The sequence below is a fragment of the Homo sapiens genome, chromosome 1 (genome assembly GCF_000001405.40).
Source record: "Homo sapiens chromosome 1, GRCh38.p14 Primary Assembly".
In the NCBI taxonomy this organism is placed as follows: Eukaryota; Metazoa; Chordata; class Mammalia; order Primates; family Hominidae; genus Homo; species Homo sapiens.
The window spans coordinates 67,638,843-67,661,614 of NC_000001.11; the positions used below are offsets into that span (position 1 = coordinate 67,638,843).

The 22,772-nt window shown below is 40.7% G+C and overlaps 2 pseudogenes, besides 2 other annotated features; both read right to left on the reverse strand.

Annotated features, from left to right (window-relative positions):
- Positions 407 to 908: an enhancer, noted in NCBI's record as "NANOG hESC enhancer chr1:68104932-68105433 (GRCh37/hg19 assembly coordinates)". NCBI's record gives its function as "activates a minimal SCP1, AML or CMV promoter by ChIP-STARR-seq in naive H9 embryonic stem cells {active_cell/tissue: H9 hESC(naive)}" and the evidence as "EXISTENCE:reporter gene assay evidence [ECO:0000049][PMID:30033119]".
- HNRNPCP9 (heterogeneous nuclear ribonucleoprotein C pseudogene 9) lies at positions 3,871 to 22,210 on the reverse strand (annotated as a pseudogene).
- RN7SL392P (RNA, 7SL, cytoplasmic 392, pseudogene) lies at positions 17,989 to 18,287 on the reverse strand (annotated as a pseudogene).
- Positions 21,244 to 21,538: a silencer, noted in NCBI's record as "tiled region #12613; HepG2 Repressive non-DNase unmatched - State 23:Low". NCBI's record gives its function as "represses a minimal TATA promoter and a strong SV40 promoter by Sharpr-MPRA in HepG2 cells {active_cell/tissue: HepG2}" and the evidence as "EXISTENCE:reporter gene assay evidence [ECO:0000049][PMID:27701403]".
- Positions 22,211 to 22,772: the final 562 nt, after the last annotated feature.

The window sequence follows — 22,772 nt, forward strand, 5'->3', positions numbered from 1 at the left end:
GAAAGAAATTTCAAAGTTCAAAGAGAGAAGGCATTAATATTTCTCAAGATGCATAATGTGATTTTATAAAAACAAATTGCAGAAAGCTGTAGGATTTCAAAAGTGGATCCCAAAGATGGTCACGCCCTTTCAGTCCAAGAGCCACACCTCAAGAGGGAAGTGGGGCACAGGCACAAAGGCTGGCAAACCCTGAGGATTCCTGGGAAGCCAGCCTTGGCTTGTACCAGGGAGGGTAGGTATTCTTATATTGATTGCAGTACTCTTTGTGGTGATGATTAGCTGTGTGTTGATCTTCTTGAATAAAGAAAGAGAAGGGAATTTCAAAATGAACTTGAAAAACATCAACCTTGGAATAAAATAGAAATAATAAAATAAGAATAATTTGAATCACAATTAGTGCACATCTTATATGCATTATTACATTTTATCATCACTGTAGCCTTACAAAGATAGCTATTATTATTATCTCCCATTTTACAGATGGGGAAACTGAGGGTTAGAGATGAGTTGTCTGCAAATATGGCCATGAATTCCTCCATCCCAATATGCAAATGCCCTTTCTTCCCACTGAGTGTTGGAGTCTATTTCCCCTCCTGTTGAGCCTTGGCTGGCCTGTGGTGGCTTTCAACAAAAGAATGAATTGGAAGTGATGACATGCTCGTTCTGGCTTACGTCTTAAGAACGCTGGCAACTTCCATTTCCGCTCTCTTTGAAGCCAGTTGCCATGTCAGGAAGTCTGAAAAACCTGTTAAGAGAGAAAGGCCACATGGACAAAGGCCACATGGAGAAAAGGGTCCAATTTTTATGAGAGACTAAGAAGGAAGAGGGGAAGACCCAGCCAGCCCCCGGCAATTTCAGCTACCCAAGACATGAAGTGTCAGATACGTGAGTGAGGCCTTCTTGGTAACTGGAAACCTAGCCAAGCTCAATGATGAACGCAGCCATGTGAGTGACCCCAGCTGACACAATGTGGAATACAAGAATTGACCCAGTACACCCAAAGGATTCTAGTAAATAATAAAATAGCCATTGATCAGGCCACTACGTTTGGAAGTGTTTCATTATGCAGCAAAAAATATCCGAAACAAGAGATTAGAAGCTTGCCTATGGTCATACAACTGGTAAGTGGTAGAGCCAGGCCTTGAGGCCAGGTCTTCCTGACCTCAGTGTCCAGGCTCTTAACAGCTGCATGGCCAAAGACTATAAATCATTAAAGATATGGAAATTATTAGCATAGGTCTACTAAATCATGGAATATGAGAGCTGAGGAAAGAATAAGGATGAGAAGAAGGAACACACTGAGAGTGGAGAAGATGAGCTTCCAGGAGCTTGAAACAAACCTTTTATTCCCATATTTATTGAGCATCTATAATGCTTGAGGCAATTTTGTAGGGGCTCTGAGAGATTCAGAGGTGAATGCCATAGGGTAAATGATCTCAGGAAGATAGCAATCTAATTAGGAAAAACAAAAATGCATAAAAATCATACCATATAAAGTAAAATGGTAGAGCTGCTATAGAACACAGTTTAGCAGTTCCTCAAAAAATGTTTCCCTTTAAAAGGAATGGGAAAAGCTGCAATTACTTTTGTACCAACCTAATATTATATGATCCAGCAATTCTCCTTTGAGCAAAAGAGTTGCTTAAACAAATATCTATACATTCATTTTCAGAGCAGAATTATTCGCAATAGCCAAAAAAGGGGCAAGTAACCCAAAGTCCATGGACAGATGAGTGGATAAACAATATGTGGTATGTGTAGACAATGGAACATTATCGAGTCTTTAAAAGGAAATTTCGGACACATGGGTGAAGCTCGAGAACATTATCCTAAGGGAAATAAGCCAGTCAAAAAGAACAAATCCTGTATGGGTCCACTTATAAAACGTACCTAGAGTAGTCAAATTCATAGAGATAGAAAATAGAATGGTGGTTGCCAGGGGCTAGGAGGAGCGGGGAATGAGGAGTTAGTGCTTAAAGTGTCCAGACTTGCAGTTCAGGCAAATGAAGGTGTTCTGGAGATGGATGGTGGTGATAGTTGTACAACAATGTGAATATACTTAATACCACTTAGCTGTACACTTAAAAATATGTATATTTTACCACAATAAAAAGCAATCGATTTTTAAATTTTTTTTTGAGACAGAGTTTCACTCTTGTTGCCTGGGCTGGAGTGCAGTGGTGCAATCTTGGCTCACTGCAACCTCCACCTCCCAGGTTCAAGTGATTCTCCTACCTCAGCCTCCTGAGTAGCTGGGGTTACAGGTGTCCGCCACCACGCTTGACTAATTTTTTGTATTTTTCGTAGAAATGGGGTTTCACCATGTTGGCCAGGCTGGTCACGAACTCCCGACCTCAGGTGATCCACCTGCCTTGGCCTTTCAAAAAGTGCTGGGATTACAGGTGTCAGCCACCGCACCTGGCCTAGATTTTTAACTATACAGAAAACAAATGCTAGACAAGGCAGAGAGTTGTGAAGAGAAGAAAGCCAGGTAGGGAACAGTAGCGAGGGCTCATCACAGGCTCATCATGGGCCAAGCACTCAACTAGACTTCACACATTTTTCGTTTCATCTAGGCTTCTCAATGACCCAGAAACGTTGATAGTATTACCCCAGGTGATATCAGGAGGTAAGTTTATGGATTTAATTGTCCACAAAATGTGTCATAGACAGTTACAAATTGGTTCAAAAGTTTTAGATAAAGTCAAGTGTGATAAATCCAGAATAAATTATTTAAGGAACTATAGAAATGAGGAGTGGGGGAGGCTAGGTATTTTAAAAATTTAAAAATTAATTCCACAGAGGAAAATAATGGCCCCGCACCAATTTTCTTTTAAAAGTTTGTTATGGCTGGGCGCAGTGGCTCATGCCTGTAATCCCAGCACTTTGGGATGCCAAGGCAGGAGGATTGCTTGAGGCTGGGAGTTCAAGATCAACCTGGGCAACATGGCAAGTCTCCCTCACTAAAATGGTAATAATAATAATAATAATAATAATAATAATAAATAAAATGAATAAAAATTAAAAGTTTGTTTTTTCATATTTCAGAAATAGTGAACAATTAAACATTTTATAACTATAGAATGTAAATAGGAAGATAAAGCCATACATAACCTCATCTCAGAGGTAAATTGCTAATATTTTGGTATATATCCTTCTAGTCTTTTCTCTGCATATGTATACAGATATTTTTTCCAAACTGGAAAACACCTGTAATGTGTATTTTTATATCCTGACTTTTAAATCTTCGCATATAAGGGAACTATTTTCTTACATTACTAAATATTCTTTAAAACATGATTTGTAATGATTTGCCATCATAAGGACAGGCCCAAATTTTACTAAACCACTCTTATTTAGAGAGTTTTCTTTTCTCTCTTAAATAACACTGCAATGACATCAGTATACATACATCTTTAACCATAATCTCTAATTAGTTCCTTAGAAAGTATCCTAGAATCACACCAAGTGTTTTAATGCCACTGCCAGAGACAAAAAATTGGTCCAGAGAGACCTTGTTTTTGAACCAGAATGGTGAGTATACTTCTTATGTAAAGATGCATCTTTGGGTTATGCTCTTAAAAATTATCTGTGCCTCTCTTGGTCTATGATAGTTCAGATAAATAAATATATAACTTATTTATAGGTCAGCTACATAAGTCATTGTTATATAGTATAGACCAATAAATCAGCATGTATTATTTTTCTTGGCATCTCATATTGCCTGACATATAGCAGGTATCCAATACATATTTGGTGAATGAATGTCTATTGAATGAAATCCTGCAAAAATAATGGCACTTTCAGCTTGAACATGAGGACCAAAAATTGGAAATGTGAAATTACAGCGCTTTCACTTCAGTGGATGATTCACAGGCCCAGCTGGTTTCGTGCGTGTTTTATGAAGAGCAGTGTGCAGCGCTGTTCTGTAAGTATTGCAATCTGGGGGAATGGTCTCAGCGGGTTTAGAGCAAATCTTCTGGTGTAGGGTCTAACAAAGCAACTGCTCTCTGAGCCAGGGGAATGCTGGGCTTCTCTGGTGAGCAGCGTGGGTGGCCGCTTGTTCTCGGCTTTCCTCCCATTGTGTTCAGACAGCCTACGTTGCTCTTGTTTGCTCTGTGTCACTAGGGCCCTGGGGATAGCAAGAAATCTGTCCAGAAGTGTAAAACCACCCTTTTTATGAAACGAGAAAGTTGGAACAAGAACATTCAATGCGCTGACTGGCGATCTCAGAAAAGACACCCAGCAATGGCAAAATATAAAACAAAAGGGTCATCTGAGATTTGGCATCCTAAATCACTTACTTCTCTCTATCAAAGGGAGCTCCATTTTCTATAAGCTGCTGCCTTTACACACCCTCAACACAGATGTTTCTCCCTCTCCTCAGAGTTTGTAAAACTCACTCCATGAGGAAAGTTTCTGTCCTGCAGGTGGGTATAAGAGTGTGACCAGGAAGCACAGTATGGGATACAGAAGGCCACAAGGAATGGTGGAAAGGAAGATGACATGGAGAGAAAGGGAACCTGGGACTCAGTCTTGAATCTTTCTGAGTGACCTTGGTCAAGTCACCAAAGCATTCATTCAACAAACATTTGAGTGCTCAGTATATACTCCAGCAACGCTGTCCAAGAGAAATATAACAAAAGCCACACATGTAATTTAGAATTTTCTAATAGCCACCTTGAAACACAGTAAAAATAAGTAGGTAAAATTAATTTAAGTAGTATATTTTCTTTAACCCAGTATATTTGAAGTATTGACATTTCATGATGTAGTCAATATAAGAAATTATTTAAGAGATATATTTACATAGTTTTTACCATACTACATCTTTAAAATGAAGTATATGTTTTATACTTATGACACAACTCATCTCAAACACTACGTTTTCATCGGAAATAGTCAAGCTTTTTTAGGTTTCATACAGCTTACAGCTGAGAAAGGACATTCCCATACATAAATTATTCCAAATATACTTAAAAGTTTTTCAATAATAAAATCAGACTTTACATTAAAATTAAAACACAATGAAAAATTCATTTCCTCCATCTCATTAACCACATTTCAAGTGCTCAGTAGTCATATATAGCTAGTGGTTACTATACTGGATCACTCAGTTCTAGAGCTCATTGAACTCTGCCCTCTAGATTTCAATCCAATGAGGAATTAAGACCAAAAAAAAAATATATCTAGCGACTACAATATAAGAAGCCTTTTTATCTAAAACTTATCTGGATGTATCTAAAGACTTATCTATTCTTGTCTTGAAACTAGAGGTCTGTAGGTTAATTTTTAGCTAGTTTAGTTAGGAGTCATAAAAATGATACCTAACTTAAAACATTTTTCAAACTTAAAATACATAAAGGTATGACAATTCATCAATCTTATGTGACCAAAGGATCTCCGAATAAGAATTTACTGATGGAATTTTGAGTTGCTTTCCTTGCATGTGTCAGATCCATTGTGCAGGAACAATAATTTTCAATAGGGAAAAAATTCCAAGTTGTAAATGAAGGCCAAGGTCAAGGACTGGCTACAGCCAGTGTAGAAGCCACATGGGCATGGTTCATTAATGGTAAATGTGGCAAACACTGTTCACTGCCTACTCATCCACCATCCTCACTTTCTTCTCTGCCAGACAGAACTCTGGTTCTATTCAGTTAGTAAATGGGGATCCCTTGATCTTATCAAAGCTGTGCACAGTCTATGCCAGCCCAGGGAAGAATCACGATTGGCTTAAACCTTTGCCAGTAATTGCCTAGGGGTAGGCATAAGAGTTAGTTCTGGCCAGTGAGATTTCAGGGTAAATCTTTTTTCAAAGACTTTCTCCCTAAATGGAGAGAGTTCACAAGGAGAACATGTTTGGCCCTCGCCCCTTTCTTTATGTTCGAAATGCAGCTCTGTAAGGAGTTGCAGCTGCAATCTTAGGCCCATGGGGACATTAGCCTAAGACTACTTGAGACAGCTCTTCTACAGTTTGTTGTACATAATGAGAACTCAGTAAGTCATCACTAAGCATGAGAATTTGTCTTTTCCTTTACAATTTTATTGACTTACCCAGGTTCCTTTGAGGCCCATCTCTTCCATAAACCCTCTGTGATCCCTCCAGCCTGCAGGGGTACTCCCTCTTGCAGGCCCATAGTACTTACTTAATTGATACTTAATCATATACTATCTTGAAACACTCTTCATTTCTTTATCCTAACTTGACTTTTTATATGTCTAACTATGTTGAAGGCAGACCCCATGTGTTCTTCTTTGTATCTTCCGTCACATCTAGCAACATCCAGGTACTGGGCTGCTGTTCAAAAATATCTATAAAAGAAGTCAGTGAAAGAATAAAAGAGTAAAGACAGACATCCTCACTCTCTTGATCATGGAGTGGTATTTACCTTAAATAGCACTTAAGCCAGTTGCAAATTGATGGTCTAGGTTACTATTATTATATCGCATAGATTCTCAGGTTCTACTTCAATATTTGATCCAATGTTTATCCCTATTTTTAAATTTTGGATTAAAATTACCAATTTTGGATTCATGGTATTCTTACTCACTTTACTGATGCTCTAGTTTTTTCCCCCTATATTTCTTTTACTCAGATTGCAAAGAACTTATTCTAAATCTCTTTCCATTTCTTCCTTGAAAATTCTCCCTTCTTACATTTCTGCCACCTAGGGACAAATGTACTTCAAATATTCCTTGGAACTCTGTTCTACTATCCCCTCCACTTCCCAAATGTGGTAGTCTCTGAAGGCCTGGACAGAGAGGGAAGGCCTGACCACAGTGCCTATAGTTGGTTAGTCAAAATGGAACCAAAGCTAGTGTGTGGCAGCCAAGAATTGCAGCAGCCTAAGTCCCCAGGGCATGCTGACGTACAAACATGGGAAGCCAAGGGCCTACGCCAGTTTCTAGAGGCAAACAGAAGGGATCAAAGGTCAGCAGCTCTGCAGAAGCTGGAGCAAAGTGGAAGCCAACTAGAAATGCAGCGCACCAGCATGGCACATGTATACATATGTAACTAACCTGCACAATGTGCACATGTACCCTAAAACTTAAAGTATAATTAAAAAAAAAAAAAAAAGAAATGCAGCAAAAAACTTTCCAGGCAGTTCCAAGAAGAGCATTGGAAGGGCCTCACTCTCCATTATCAGTCAGAAGCCACATGGCACATGGAAGTGTTTCCCCTGCATGCACAAAGGGAAGAATGAGAGAATGCTTCCTAGTACATCTTCTTTTCCCAGGCTCACATTTTTTATAGTTAACTTAGGCTATTTTATTTATTAAACAAAGTTAATTGCCTCCATATCCTCTGAGGACTGGGCTGCTCCAGAGTCAGCTGGCCCCTTGCCTGGCTGCCTGCACATTTGCAACTGAAGGACACCATCAGTTTGGACATGTCAAGGATGCCAGTAGGATGGTGGTTTCCCTAGGCTGTTTGCCTGCTGGAGAGCCTCTAACATGCCTGCAAGGAGGGGAAAACAGAGAGAGAGAGAAAGGCAATAAAATGTGGAAAAAAACAGATCTATATCTAGTCCTAGAACAGCAGCAATGTCCAGAGGGCAGCCAAAAGCCCAGTGAAGCAAGTAAAAGATAACAGACTGCAAGCAGCAGGCAGCAACTGACAGATTTCTCAGAGCAGGCAGGAGGTAGTCTGAGCAATTATACAGGGATAAAGCTGAGACCCACAGAGGCAATGAAAAGAGATGGAACAATGCCAACAAAGGCTTGAGGGTAAAAGGAGCATCACAGGGAAATAGGAACAAAGCTTCATGTGAGCCATTAGATACCAGATAAAGAAAGTTCCAGATCGATAAGACATATTGGGTCATCTAAGAGGAAGGGAGGATGATGGGAATGGATTTTTCAGGACAAGTGTTTTAAAAACCTTGTTTTATCTAAAAAAAATAAAGATGAGCTCAAAATGAGATCACTGGGGACTGTCACTTCAGCCCACAGCTGCCATAGTATAGGAGGGGGGGCAAGGACTTCTAGAAGTGCAAAGTCACCCCATTGACTCATTGAGGGGACTCCCTGAGGTGTTAGACATCTGTTACTGGTGGCCCTGGATTGGGCTGCTGGCTGCAGTGTAAGGGAACAATGTGGCAGGACAAAGGGAGAATTCTGGTTTCTGAATGCAGCAAGGAAGATCTTAATCTATAAGGAAAGTGGCCAGTCGCTAGGAAGACAGTCCGTCCAGGGATAGAGAGGCTCATGGCAAGGGCAGGCTCAGGGGAGGCAATTTGATTGATTTGATGGAACACTTAATGTTATCTATGTAGGTGACAGTGACTCTCCCTGTTTTTACCAGGAAATTTCTATGAGGGCATGGGTTTGTTTAGGTATGCAATACTCAGCACTCGTTTGGCACTTAGCCTCCCTCTCCTCCCTTAACCTTCTGCCACATCCTCTGGCCCATTTCCAAACCTGGATCATTTCCATGATCCCTTTTTCCCTTATCCTGGGGCCCTGAGCCCTGGCCTGCCACACGTCCACTGTGAGGCCTGGACAGCCTAGAGCCTGCTAATGATTTTTCGTCCATTTCTAAGCCCACTTGCCACAAACTTTTTTAAGTGTCTGCTCTCAAGTGAGCTTCATTTTAATAAAAAGGAGTTCCTTCTATTTCCACCCCCTCTCCTCCAGCACACAAATGCCCCCAGGTCCTTTACTTGTCTTTTAACTTTGATCATCTCTCCTCCCGTTATCTCCCAATTGGATCCCTTTCAGCAAATGCTGTCAATCTTCTCTTTCCCTTTCCCCTGCTCTGGTCAGCAGATAACATCATGTCAGCTTCAGGTATTACATAATCTGACATCCTCTCTTCTTCGTAGTCCTCTGTTTCTCCCCTCTCTTTCTCATGCCTGCCTCCTCCAAGCCTTGCACTGTTTCATAGTCCCCCAAATCCCTCATCATCCCCTTGACTTTCTTCTCCTATACGTAAAAGAGAGGTTTTCCGCTTTAGCTGTGTTTTAGATCACCTGAAGAGCTTCTAAAAAGTATTGAAATCCCTAAACGATTGAAAAGAGGATCTTGAAGAAATATTTGTCCATCTGTGTTTACAGGAGCATTACTCACAATAGCTAAAAGATGGAAGCAACCCCAGTGTCCACAATGAATGGACCAACAAAATGTGGTATGCCCATACAATGAATATTATTCAGCCTTAAAAGGACAGGAAATTCTGACGCATACTACAACATTGATGAATTTGAGGATGTTATTTTAAGGGAAATAAGCTAGTCACAAAAGTACAAATACTGTATGATGCCACTTATGGCAGGTACCTAGAGTAGTGCAGTTCAGAAGCTGAAAGTAGAATGGTGGTTGCCAAGGGTTGTCAAGGAGGGGAGAATGGGGAGTTATTGTTTAATGGGTACAGAGTTTCAGTTTTGCAACATGAAAAATGTTCTGTGGATGGTTGGTGGTGATGTTTGCACAATGTGAGTTTACTTAAAATCTCTACACTTAAAAATAGTTAAAATTAAAAACTAGCCAGGTGTGGTGGCACACGCCTGTGGTCCCAGCTTGGGGAGCTGAGGCAGTATGATTGCTTGAGCCCAGGAGGTTGAGGCTGCAGTGAGCCATGATCATGCCACTGTACTCCAGCCTGGATGACAGAGCCAGACCATCTCAAAAAAGAAAAAAAAAGCTAGAATGGTAAATTTTATGTTATATATATTTTACAATTTTAAGTAAATAAATAACTCTTTTTTTAAAGTATGGATACCTGTTCTCCACTCCAGATCCCCTAAATCATAATCTCCAGAGTGGTGAATGTTTTCTATTCATTCAATTGACAGTGACTCTGTGCCACGCCCTGTGCTGGGGGCTGGGGATACAGACATGAAGCGCACAACATCCCCTTGTTGAAGAGTTCACAGCCTAGGGAAGAGAGCAAGCACTTTGCATACAGTTGGCAAGATGAGTGATGAGAGAGGAGTGTTCAACCTGGGATCAGAGGCTGGTGGGTGGACAGCACCTAAAGATTCCTGGAGGTGGCGTTGTTATCTCCACTTCCTGCAATCCCTCCTGCTTTCCCTTGCTCCTTGCAATCTTGCAATCTGTCTGTTAAAATATTTGACTGGTTTAAATGCTCCACCCCATCCCCATGTATATATTAACCTTTATGTGGGTTTATAATGCATTCCTAATTGCAAAACACTGTGGTGGCATGTTCCATGTGGCAGAGATAATGCTATGGGTTTGCCCACTCTTGTGTTATTTTCCTCTTTCCTGGGCACTCAGGCACAGATTTTTTCTCCACCCTCCCTCTTAGGTTGAGGCCACGTGCCTAGATTTTGGCCAATGACGTGTGAGGAGAAGGGATGCAGGCCACTGCCAAGTCAGACCCTTGTCAAAACCTCCATCCCCTGTTCTCTCCTCCCCTTCTTTGGCATCAATGCAAACTCTTGCTTTATAAGGACAAACCTCGAGGTAGAGAAGGGTCTCATGACCAGAACTGGTCTTGCTGTGAGTGAAAAACAAACTTTTATTAGGTTAAACCACCTGAGAGTTTAGGGTTTTCTGTTGCAGCTGCTGGCTTTAAATACCCTAATAAGTTCTCCATCTCTATTCCTTCATTCAATCATCACTTTATTTATTATTTTTTAAATTTTTAGCCCTGATTGTCTTCCTGGCATATAGCTGTGGGCATTCTCATTACTCTTATTTTCTCTTAGAATCCAACTGGGAATTGTCCTCCTGAAAGGTGCTGGAAGTCTCGGCCACAGGGTTTCTGCTGGTTTTCCCCTTCCTCCATGATGTGCGGCATTCTCCTCCTTTCCTCACTTATGAAACAAAGGCATTTCCCAATAGTTTTACTCTGGGTTTCTCTCCCTCTCTAACACTATTGTGTCGGTTGAAGGAGAATCAGGAGGAGGTAGGGACAGCCTCACACAGCGGGAGGATCCCTTGAAACCAGGAGTTCGAGACCAGTCTGAGCAACATGGTAAGAACTCATCACTAAAATTATGCCAGGCTTGGTGGCACACCTGTAATCCCACCTATAGAAGGAGAGGGGAAAGGAGGACTGGCTAGGAAGAGTGCCAGGTTGCTGTGCACCTCTGAGAAAGAGTGGACCAGGCTGCTGAGCTCCTGAGCAGAGTGCTTGTCAGAAGACTCCCATGTTGAGCAGGAATGGCTTGGCTCTAGTACCTTTGCCATGCTCTGACATTGGCTGGGAGCAGCCTGGGGAGTGTCGCCTCAGTAGGAATGCTGCAGTTGAACCCCAAAGGGGCAGCAGCTACAGGCTGTCAGCTACTACACTCCTCCCATTCTGGTTCTCTCTAAGGAGATCTGGGGGTACTCCCAGGCTGCCACATGTGTCCACTTGCCCTGCTTCTTTGTTGCACTTCTCCTGTGGGAGGCTCATTAGTTCCAGTGTATCTACTAACACTTGATATCCCAGGAGAGTTAAGTGTGAGACTCAGACCATGAGTAAGAGCATACTTTGTATACATGGTTCACTTCAATCTTTGCCTTCTCTGTGAAGCTGTCCTCCCCCCACCCACCCCCATTCCATAACACTTGTGTACCCACTATCATCTCTGCACTTGCCAAATTCTAGGTTTTGAAAAATGTAAACCCTACTTTCCCCAATGGTTTGTGAGCATATTTGTAAAATATGTAAACAAGTAAGGTGTGGTGGCCTGCGCCTGTAGTCCTAACTACTGGGGAGGCTGAGGTGGGGGGATCCCTTGAACTCAGGAGTTCGAGGATGTGGTGAGCAGTGTTTACACCACTGCACTTCAGCCTGGGTGACAGAGCAGACCCTGTCTCAAAAAATAAAAATTAAAATTAAAAAATTAAAAAAAAGGAGGCCAGGCACGTTGGCTCATGCCTGTAATCCCAGCACTTTGGGAAGCGAAGGCAGGGAGATCACTTGAGATCAGGCAGGAGTTTGAGATCAGCCTGGCCAACATGGTGAAACCCTGTCTCTACTAAAAATACAAAAATTTGTGGGGTGTGGTGGCACACGCCTGTAATCCCAGCTACTTGTGAGGCTAAGGCAGGAGAATCACTTGAACCCAGGAGGTGGAAGTTGCAGTGAGCCAAGATCATGCCACTGTGCTCAAGCCTGGGCGACAGAGTAAGACTCTGTCTGGAAAAAAAAAAAAAAAGTAAACATATTTATCTTTGCATCCTTATAGCCTGATACTATGTGAGACATACAGTCGGAGCTCAATTGCATTGTTTGTTGAATAAATTTTAGTATTAGAAATAATTACTGGGCTTACCATGGAAAGTGTGGAAAACTGAATCAGCTGAGAGCAAAGGAGTTGCTTTCAAGTCCTAGCTCCAATGTTTAGAAGCTCCGTGAACTTGGGCGAGTTACTTAACATCTTTGACTCTCATTGTCTTGTCCATGAAAAAAGGAAGTGACCTTAATGAAGTCCCCACTCAGAAGCAGGCATTTCACACATGGTAACTCACTTAATAGGAGTTACCTGCCCATCCCAGTGATAAAGCTATTGTGAGGATCAGCAAAACGTCAGATGGGAAAGCATCAGGCAAATGCTAAAGCTCTGTAAGGATGTAAGATAGGACATTTTTACCACCTCTGCACACACAAATCCCAAATCTTCATTTCTACCCCAGCCTACGTCCCGAGTTCCAGGCTGGAATCCCAGATCAAAGCAAATGCCTTATCAGTAATTACTTCTTGCCACATCAGACCCTAATTCATTCTTTTGGGCCCCGTCTTACGCTATTTCCCTATAAGGCAGACCCTCTGCAGGGTTCGAAAAGGCCTAATTCTGTGAGCAAGACTGCACCTGCCCAGACTGAGCTTTTGCTCACGATTGTCCTCTGTTTGGGGAAACGTCATCTCTCTCTCTGCCTACAGAAATCTTGCTATATTTAAAAGCCAATCTCAGATCCTACCCCTAGCAAAGTGCTGTCTCGTTATTCTCACTCCTACAACAGCCACTAGTAGTACTATTAATATCACTACAATTACTAACATCTAGTTAAAAGACTGCCTGGGTTTGTATTCCTTAATTCTGCCATTTACTAGTTGTCTGACCTTGAGCAAGTCGATTAACGTATTTACATTTTAGTTTCCTCATCTGTAAAATAGGCATAAAAATCCTCCCATCTCACAGGGGTATTATGATGACCAAATGAATTAATACAGATAATATGTACTACAATGGTTTCTATTTGATAGGAGATAAAATGACTGTCTGCACCTCAAATGTAGCACTTAATTAACAAGATATTTCCATGTGACAGGGTTAATTTTATTATGCTTTAACTATGGTTGGGTACTATGCTAGTCATTTTACCTGTATTAACTTATTCATGTCTTACTATGATCCAAGTCCCTACTTTTTTAAAAAAAGAAAACCGGCCAGGTGTGGTGGCTCATGCCTGTAATGCTAGCACTTTGGGAGGCCAAGGCAGGAGAATCACCTGAGCTCGGGCATTTGAGACCAGCCTGGGCAACATAACGAGACCTCATCTCTATTTTTAAAAAAATGAATAAATAAAAATAAAAATAAAAAACAAGAAAACTGAGGCACAGAAAGTAAAGCAATTCACTCAAGGTCATGAATCTAGTTAGTTTCTACAAACTTCAAATTTAACTCCAAATTCTGTACATTGATACTACACCACACTATCTCTTTAATGTGTGTAAGTCTTAACAACCAGATTGCTGGTGGCAGTGCCTGTCTGCACTTCTTGCTACTTGAGCCTGTCTCTCAAGCACCATAATAACTACTTGATAAATACATTTTCATTTATTGATTAGTTCATGCCACATTTATTAAGTATCTCAGTGGCAGGCAGGCAGAAAGGTAAAGCACAAGTTCTATCTAAGTAGGAAATACTATTATGGTATATTATATATTATAGTATGTATACACACACACATATATAACATATGTTATAGTACAGGATATCACAGACAGTGGAAGCACAATAAAATGAGCAATCAATTGATCAATTCAGTACACATCAAATAGCACCATGTACAAATGCCCAAAACAGAAACTACCCAAGAAAACACTGCTTAGCAATAGCCTACCTAGAAACATTAAATTAGCAAGCGAAACTTGCAGGTCTCCTGAAAGAAGGGTGAAGTCCTCCCTTACCCTTCTTGAATTGCAAAATGCTGTAAACAGATCTCCAGCAGTGTTTTTGATGACCAATCCAGGGTAAGGAGACTGCCAGGAAGACAGCTGCCTCCTCTGCTGACTCTTACTCATTACCTACTGACGGAGCACTTCTCCACTCTAGACCACAGCCACAGGAGTAAATAACCCTCAATCAACAGAGGAGTTTAGCTGAAGTGGGCACACTAGGTGGAAGGAAGGGATGTTATATACCTGGCACTAAGCATGCATTCTATGATGAGATCCTCACTGTACTCTCCGGATGGTCATTTCTAACACTTTCCTCAAACCTCCTACTCCTCCCCACTTCCACTGATGGCCTCAGCTGTACTTTATTGAGAAAATGAAAATTTTTAGAAGAAAATTGCTTCATCTTCCCACCACTGAGTTCCTAAGTTTAACTGAATCTGGGTCCATTTTCTCCTTCTTCCCTCTTGTTACTGTGCAGAAAGGGACCCTCCCACCAACAAAGGCTGATCCCTTCACTTGCTCTAGAAGCCATCCTCTCTTCTCCCAGGGACTTTGTTCCTTTTTGGTTCCCTTTTTTCTTCAATCATTATTCTCTCTCTCTCCCTTTCTCTCTCTCTCTCTCTCTCTCTCTCTCTCTGTCTCTCTCCTTGTCTGTCTAGTAAGTCATTCTTATTGGCATATCATGTTCTAGTACCTCCTATATTTAAAAACAAGCAAAAGCCTTAACATCACATTCTTTCTTAGCTGATACCTTGATTTTCTAAGGTTGTCTACATATGTCCATATTTCTTCTCCCCATTTGCTCATTTCTCCCTATTATTTTACATTTTAATTGAACACACAGAAAAACTACATAACCATCACCACTATTCAAGGTTCTTACGGGCATCCCTCAGATTCTGTCTCCCTACATCCCCTCCAAAGGTAACCACTATCCTAAATTTTGTTTTTTTAATCACTCGCTTGATTTTTTTCTTAATCAGATTTGCTATCAGATAACTTACCTGCAGTAAATTCACATAATTTAAAAGTACATGCTGGGCATGGTGGCACATGCCTGTAGTCCCAGCTACTTGGGAGGCTGAGGCAGGAGGATTTCTTGAGCCCAGGAGTTTGAAGTCAGCTGGGGCAACATAGTGAGACCCCATGTCTAAAAAAATACAATGCAATGAATTTTGCTACATATATGCCATCATGTAATCACCACCACAGTAATGATGCAGAACATTTCTTTCATCCCAAAAAGTTTTCTCTTGCTTCTTCGCTCGTCAATTTTTATCCCTACCCTCAGCCACTAGCAAACACTAATTTCTGCAACTAGTGTCTTACCTTTTTTAGGATTTTATATAAATGGAATCATATAGTATGTAGTCTTTTGTGTTTGACCTCCTTCAGTCAGCATAATGCTTTTGAGATTCATCTATGCTATTGTATGTGGTAATAGTTCATTCCTTATGCTGAAGAGTATTACACTATATGGATATACCACAATGTGTTTATCCATTTGCAGTTGAGAGACATTTGGGTTGTTTGCAGTTTTAGTTTATCATGACAAATGCTGCTTTGACTATTCAAGTACAGGTCTTTATGTGAACATATGTTTTCCTGTCTCTTGGATGAATACCCAGGGATGGGATTGCTGGGTTGTTTGGAAAGTGTATGTTTCACTTTATAAGAAACTATCAAGCTTTTTCCAAAGTGGTTGCACCATTTTTTCATCTCCACCAGCAGTGTATGAGAGTTTTGGGTGCTCCTCATCAACATTTGGTATGATCAATTTTCCTTTTTTTTTTTTTAACCTTAGCCATCCTAGTTACTATATAGGGATATCACACTGTGGTTTTAATTTGCATTGTTCTACTAACTAATAATGTCGAATATCTTTTTATGTGTTTGTCATCAATATATTTTCTTTGATAAAGTATCTTTTCATATCTTTTGCTCATTTTTAAAATTAGATTTTTGTCTTCTTAAGTTGTAAGAGTTCTTTATATATTCTAGATACAAGTCTTTTATCAAATATTTGTTTCGCAGTTTTCTCCCAGTCTGTGGTTTGCCTTTCCATTTTCTTAACAATGTCTTTCAAAGAACAAATGTTTTAAAATTTTAAAATATTATTTTTAAACATTTTTAAGTGTTACCAATTTTTTTCTTTTATGACTTTTTGTATCCCATCTTAAAAATCTTTGCCTACTTCAAAGTTATTCCAATAATCTGCTAAATTGTTTTTCCTATAAGTTTAATAGTTTTAGCTTTTATATTTAGGTCTATGACCCATTTCAAGTGAATTTTTGTGTATGGGGTAAGTTAAGGGCCTATTGCTTTAACACTATTTTTTGGAAAAATTATTATTTCCACATTGAAATACCTTGGCACTTATGTCAAAAATCAATTGACCATATATGAGTGGGCCCATTTCTGCGTCTCTACTCTTTTCAGTTAATCTTTATGTGTTTCTTTATGCCAATACCATAACATTTGTAGAGTAAGTCTTGGAGTCATGTAGAGTAAGTTTGTTTTACTTTTTCAAAATTATTTGACTATTTTAGGTCCTTTGTATTTCCATCTGAATAAGCTGGTCAATTTCTACCAAAAAAAAAAATTTCTGCTTGGAGACTCTACTTTCTGTAATGGTGGCATGGAGAAGAGGTAGAGAAGTTTCTTTCCACAGCAAACAATTATAAAGCTGGACAAAATTATTAACAACAACCATTTTGGAGCACTGGTAAATGACCAAAGTCAAGTAACAATTTTAGAAGTTTTACTCATGAAAATTTCACCACACCAAATAAGAAGACTGAGTCTGTGGCCTTCTTTGTTCTGGACACGGCACAGGGGGCATTCCTATGCAAATATCCATGTTGAATAGCAAGAACCTACAGTTTTAATGGCTGGAAGTGGTTGTCTTGGTTTGAGAAGGGTGGCGGAACAGCTAATATGGAAGAATTGTATTAACAGACCTGAGAGAGCCATAGAAAGACTGATATAATAAAATCTCCACATATCTCTGGATAAATGCTAAGCTATGTGTGCATCCCAAAGAGCCCAGTTAAAGTTAAAAGTCTGAAAAGACTTGAAAGTCTGCTGTACCTTTAAATGTGCTCCTCGGCCTGGTGCGGTGGCTCACGCCTATAATCCCAGCACTTTGGGAGGCCGAGGCAGGTGGATCACCTGAGGTCAGGAATTCGAGACCAGCCTGACCAACATGGAGAAACCTTGTCTCTACTAAAAATACAAAATTAGCCGGGCATGATGGTGCATGCCTGTAATCCCAGCTACTCGGGAGGCTAAGGCAGGTGAATTGCTTGAACCCAGGAGGCGGAGGTTGCGGTGAGCCATTGCACTCCAGCCTAGGCAACAAGAGCAAAACTCTCCCAGAGTGTGCAGCCATTGATGTCTCTGATCAGTTTTTAATTTTTTGTTTTCTCCTTGGAGAAGTGATTGAGGGCTCCTTAGGCTTTCCCCTGCACCAGCATAGGTTATTGGTAAGCCAATATGTTGGGTGGAGGCTATGCTCAGACACCTCAAGCCAGTAAGACTTTCACTTTCTGCCATCTGAGTGTATCAGTTGAGGAGCACATTTTTTTTTTTTTTTTTTTTTTTTTTTCAGACAGAGTCTTGCTCTGTCCCCAGGCTGGAGTGCAGTGGCATGATCTCAGCTCACTGCAACCTCCATCTCCTGGGTTCAAGCGGTTTCCCTGCCTCAGCCTCCCTAGTAGCTGGGGCTACAGGTGCACGCCACCACGCCCAGCTAATTTTTTGTATTTTAGTAGAGACGAGGTTTCACCATGTTGGCCAGGATGGTCTTGATCTCCTGACCTCATGAGCCGCCCTCCTCAGCCTCCCAAAGTGCTGGGATTACAGGCGTGAGCCACTGTGCCCGGCCTATCTTTTTATTTTTATTATAGATGGGCTATCACTATGTTGCCCAGGCTGGAGTGCAATGGCTATTTACAGGCACAATCCTGCTATTAATCAGCATCAGATCTTTGACTTGCTCTATTTTCAACTTGGGCTGATTTATCCATCCTGAGATAACCTGGTGGTTCTCTCCTTCCAGGAAGTTACCATATTGATGCCAAGCTTAGTGCAGACACCTGATCAGCGTAGCACACTGCAGCCCCAAATTTCTGGACTTAAACAATCCTCCCACTTCAACCTTCCAAGTAGCTAGGACTACAGGTGCATGCTACCACACCCAGTCTCATACGGTATTTTTAGAGGAATTACTAAAAAATAAAGCAAATAAATATAGCTATCAAGTCAGAAGAGGAATTAAAATAAAAGAATAAATTTTTCATTATTCAGCTCCCACTATAAGTGAGAATATGAGGTGTTTGGTTTTCTGTTGCTGTGTGAATTTGCTGAGGATTATGGCTTCCAGCTCCATCCATGTCCCTGCAAAGGACATGATCTCAATCCTTTTCATGGCTGCATAGTATTCCATGGTATATATGTACTATATTTTCTTTATCCAGTCTATCATTGATGGGCATTTGGGTTGATATCATGTCTTTGTTATTGTGAATAGTGCTACAATGAACATACACGTGCACACAGGTAGGGGAACAACACACACTGAGCCTGTTGGAGGGTGCAGTTGGGGGAGGGAGAGCATTAAGAAAAATAGCTAATGCATGCTGGGCTTAATACTTAGGTGGTGGGTTAATAGGTGCAGCACACCACCATGGCACATGTTTACCTATGTAACAAGCCTGCACGTCCTGCATGTGTACCCTAGAACTTAAAATTAAATAAATAAATTTTTAGCACAAAAAAGAGTAAAGGAGGAACATAGGAGCAACAAGAACAAAAAGACGAGAGGAATAGAAAAACAGCAAAATGGCCTAACTTTTCTAGCACTTGATGGTTATGTTTAGTGTGAATGTCCTAAATATTCTAATCAAAAGTCAGGTATTGTCAGACTGGACAAAAAAGCAAGATTCAGTATTTGGTTTTTACTTGAGATGTGCTTTAAATTCAAAGACACAAATCTCGTCCAGTGAATTTCTTACTTTGGATAATCTCTAGAAGTTCCATTTGGGTCTTTTTCACACTTTCAAATTCTCTTCTCATTATGGCTATATTTTCTTCTACCTTTTGAACATATGGAGTGGCTTTAATATTCTTATGCACTAGTTTCATCATTGATATCATTTTTGCATCAGTTTCTAAGGATTGGTTTTTGTCTATGTTTTGGGATATTATTTTACTGCTTCTTTGCATTCTCATGGTTATTTATTTTTTTCTCAGATACTGGACATTGTCAATTTATGTCGCTGGTGGCTAGATTTTCTTGTATTCTTTTAATAATGTCATACTTTTTTCTGGTATGCAGTTATTTGGATAACAGTTGGATCCTTTCAAGCTTGCTTTTAAGCTTTGTGGTTTTGGGTCCACAGCAGCCTCTAGTAAGGTTTTATGCTGACTATTAAGATGTTTTACTTCTTAGTTTCCTACTGATGCTGCATATATCATGAGACCTGTTCACTCTGACTTGTGGAAGCAAGAACATTTCTCAGTCCTATATGAGATCCAGGAATTCTTCTGCCTACTCCCTTCTGGTAGGTCTTTCCCTGACCTCAGGTTAATTCTCTCTCACTCCCACTTATGCCTAGTGTTCCATTAATGGAACGCTAAGCATGTGGGAGTTATTTATATCCTACTGCTCAATGTCATCGCCAAGGTTTGATTTTTCAAATACAAAAAAAATTGCAACCTCAGGTATAAATGGGTTAAATAGATCATTCTGCAGATCCCCAGATCTCTCCTGTATAGCTCCCTCCTCTACACTACTCTGCTCTGTAAATTGTGGCTGCCTTGTTCTCCCCAAACACCAATCTGCTTTCTTCATTACTACTGGATTTTGTTTGGGGTTCAGTTTTTCAGTGCTACTGCCTGAAAACTCCCTTCAGGGGGTAAGCTGGTGCAATTACAGAGCTCACCTGGTTTGTTTTCCTTCACTCACACACTACAGTCCTGCTCTGCCTATTGTCCAATTTCCAAAAACCATTGTTTCATGTATTTTTCCAGTTATCAAGTTGTTGAGGCAGAAGAGTAAATTTGCTGTCTGTTCTAACATGTTGGCCAGAAGCAGGAGTTTCAGTTCTTTTGTTTTCTAAAAATACTTTTATAATATTTTTAAATTTGGGGTATTTTAAGATTATTTTAAATGCACAGTAAATAATACTGTAAGTTGGGGTTGTTTTTTGGTAATTTTTTCTCCATTCAAAGTACTATTTATTTATTTTTCTACAAGTTTCTCCTTTAATAAGGGCCTGTTTATTTTGTGGGGAAAAGGCCTCAAACATCAGGCTGTTCACAAAAATAACCCACAGTATCAACTTTAGAAAACTATCTTAAGACTATTACACTGATTTTTTTTAGAGGATGCATTTGACATGCCAACTCTCATTCACAAAAATACACTGTTACATTTGCGCTGCACTGCCCCACACAGCATACTTCTGTGGGTATAACCCACATACTTCCAACTCAAAGCTGCCCTCCAGTGCTACTGAACTAAATGAGATTTCCTTTGCAGTTAGGGAAGCAACTACTGAACTCATGTATGAATGAAAAGAACTGTTCTCCTGCATAACAAGAGATTATTTTAGAGACAGTTGATAAAAACCATACATCCTTTTAATCGATAAGTCATAAAGAGCTATCAAAATTAAAAGCAAAAATTACAGGGTAAGACTTAACAAAACTACTAGGAGCCTCAAAGGAAGTGATAATGAGACTAGGCTCAGAGCAATATGAATTAATGAACATGGTAAGGACAAGGATGGGGAGAACAGTGAGCATGTGCTGAAGATACCAGGGGAGAGGATCAGGTGAGGAATTTGATCTTAGACAGCCGCCTAAGTAAAGAAATAATGGGATAGGATTTCTAAACCCCATCATGTGTTTAAGAGTCGTTCTCAGCTGGATGTGGCGGCTCACACCTGTAATTCAGCACTTTGGGAGGCCGAGGTGGGTGGATCACCTGAGGTCAGGAGTTCGAGACCAACCTGGCCAACATGGCAAAACCCCGTCTCTACTAAAAAAAATACAAAAATTAGCTGGGCATGGTGGCACGCGTCTGTAATCCCAGCTACTTGGGAGGCTGAGGCAGGAGAATTGCTTGAACCTGGGAGGCAGAGCTTGCAGTGAGCCGAGATTGCGCCACTGCACTCCAACCTGGGTGACAGAGCAAGACTGTCTCAAAAAAAAAAAAAAAAAGTCATTCCCGCCACTGGCGCTGTCTCTGTCATCCTCCCCTCTCTCAGCCTCTTTTTCATCATCCTTGATTATCTACAGTTGGTCACCCCCACATTCAGTATCGTCGTCATCCAGCAGGTCCTTCTCCTCAGCAGAGTCATCTGCAGCCCCTCAGATTCCATCTTCACATTAGTCTCATCTTACTTCACGGAGCTGCTGCTCGGCCCGTCATCTGTCTTCACATCCTTCAACTCTACTCCTTGTAGGCTCTCCTCCTTTTCAAATTTCTCCAGATTTTCCAGTAGAGAATCCACTTTTTGTTTTATCTGGGTCAATTCCTTCTTATGGCCTGAAGGTCATCTCCTTTCAATTCGGAAGATCCCCACTGCCCACTCTTAGAATTAAAGCCACTTTTGCCCCTTTGTGAGGTGTTTCCTGATACATGCTGGCGTTTTGAGGGTACTACAGCCCAAGCACTAGGAGGAGGAGGAGAAGCATGTGCTGGATCACGGTGCATCCTGTCATAATAATCCCATTGAAAATCACAGACCAAGTCAAAAGAGGAGCCATACATCTCCGCTGCAGATCATCTCACGCCGGCTTTTCCTCAGTTCACTTTCAGCTCTGCAGCCAGATTAGTATCTAAAACTTGGCCGGCAATCATTCTGCCATCCCCTCCTGCCACAGTAGGCTGGATATTTCTCTCATGAACACAGTGAACAGAGGCAAAGCCCTTATGAACAGAGCCACCCACAGTTTTGCCATACTTTGAAAAGATTGCTTCCACATCAGACTTCTTGACCACAAGAGTGTTGAGATTCCCAATGAATACTCTGGGGTTCATGGAGTGAGGATTTGACTTGTTGATAACATTGCTAGCCATTATGTTTGATGGGAAGGTTTCTCACAAAGCCAAAAACAGGAGTGGGAAGGGAGATTCTGTGTCTCCAATCCAGGGTTCCATGTGGAGAAGCCAACTGCTGCTTGAGGTCAACGACGTGGTCACAACCACTCAGTATTCATCTCAAAGTTTACTTAAAAAATTCATCTTCATTGGTCTAACTACAATTCATTCATTTTGCTGCTGTATAATCTTCCATTGTGCAAATACACCAAAACTTACTTATCCTTTCTTTTGTCCATGTTTGGATTATTTTAATTTTGTGCTATCATGAACAAAGATTAGTGCTATTAGGAGTATTTTATATATGTCTCCTAGTAGGCATATTTAAGAATTTATCTAGGTTATATACCATGAGTGAAATTACTGGGTTTTAAGGTAGACAATGTTCATTTTTTAGGATAATGCCCCCCCACCACCCTCCCCCTGCTTTTCATTTTTTAATCTACTAGGCTACTTTTGCTTTCTCAAACTCTTCCTTTACTAGCTCAGGACCTGTGCACAAACCGTTTCCTTTACTTGAAACACTTTTCTCACTTGCCATTTACAAAGCTTGTCTTTTGCATTCTTTAGGTATCAGC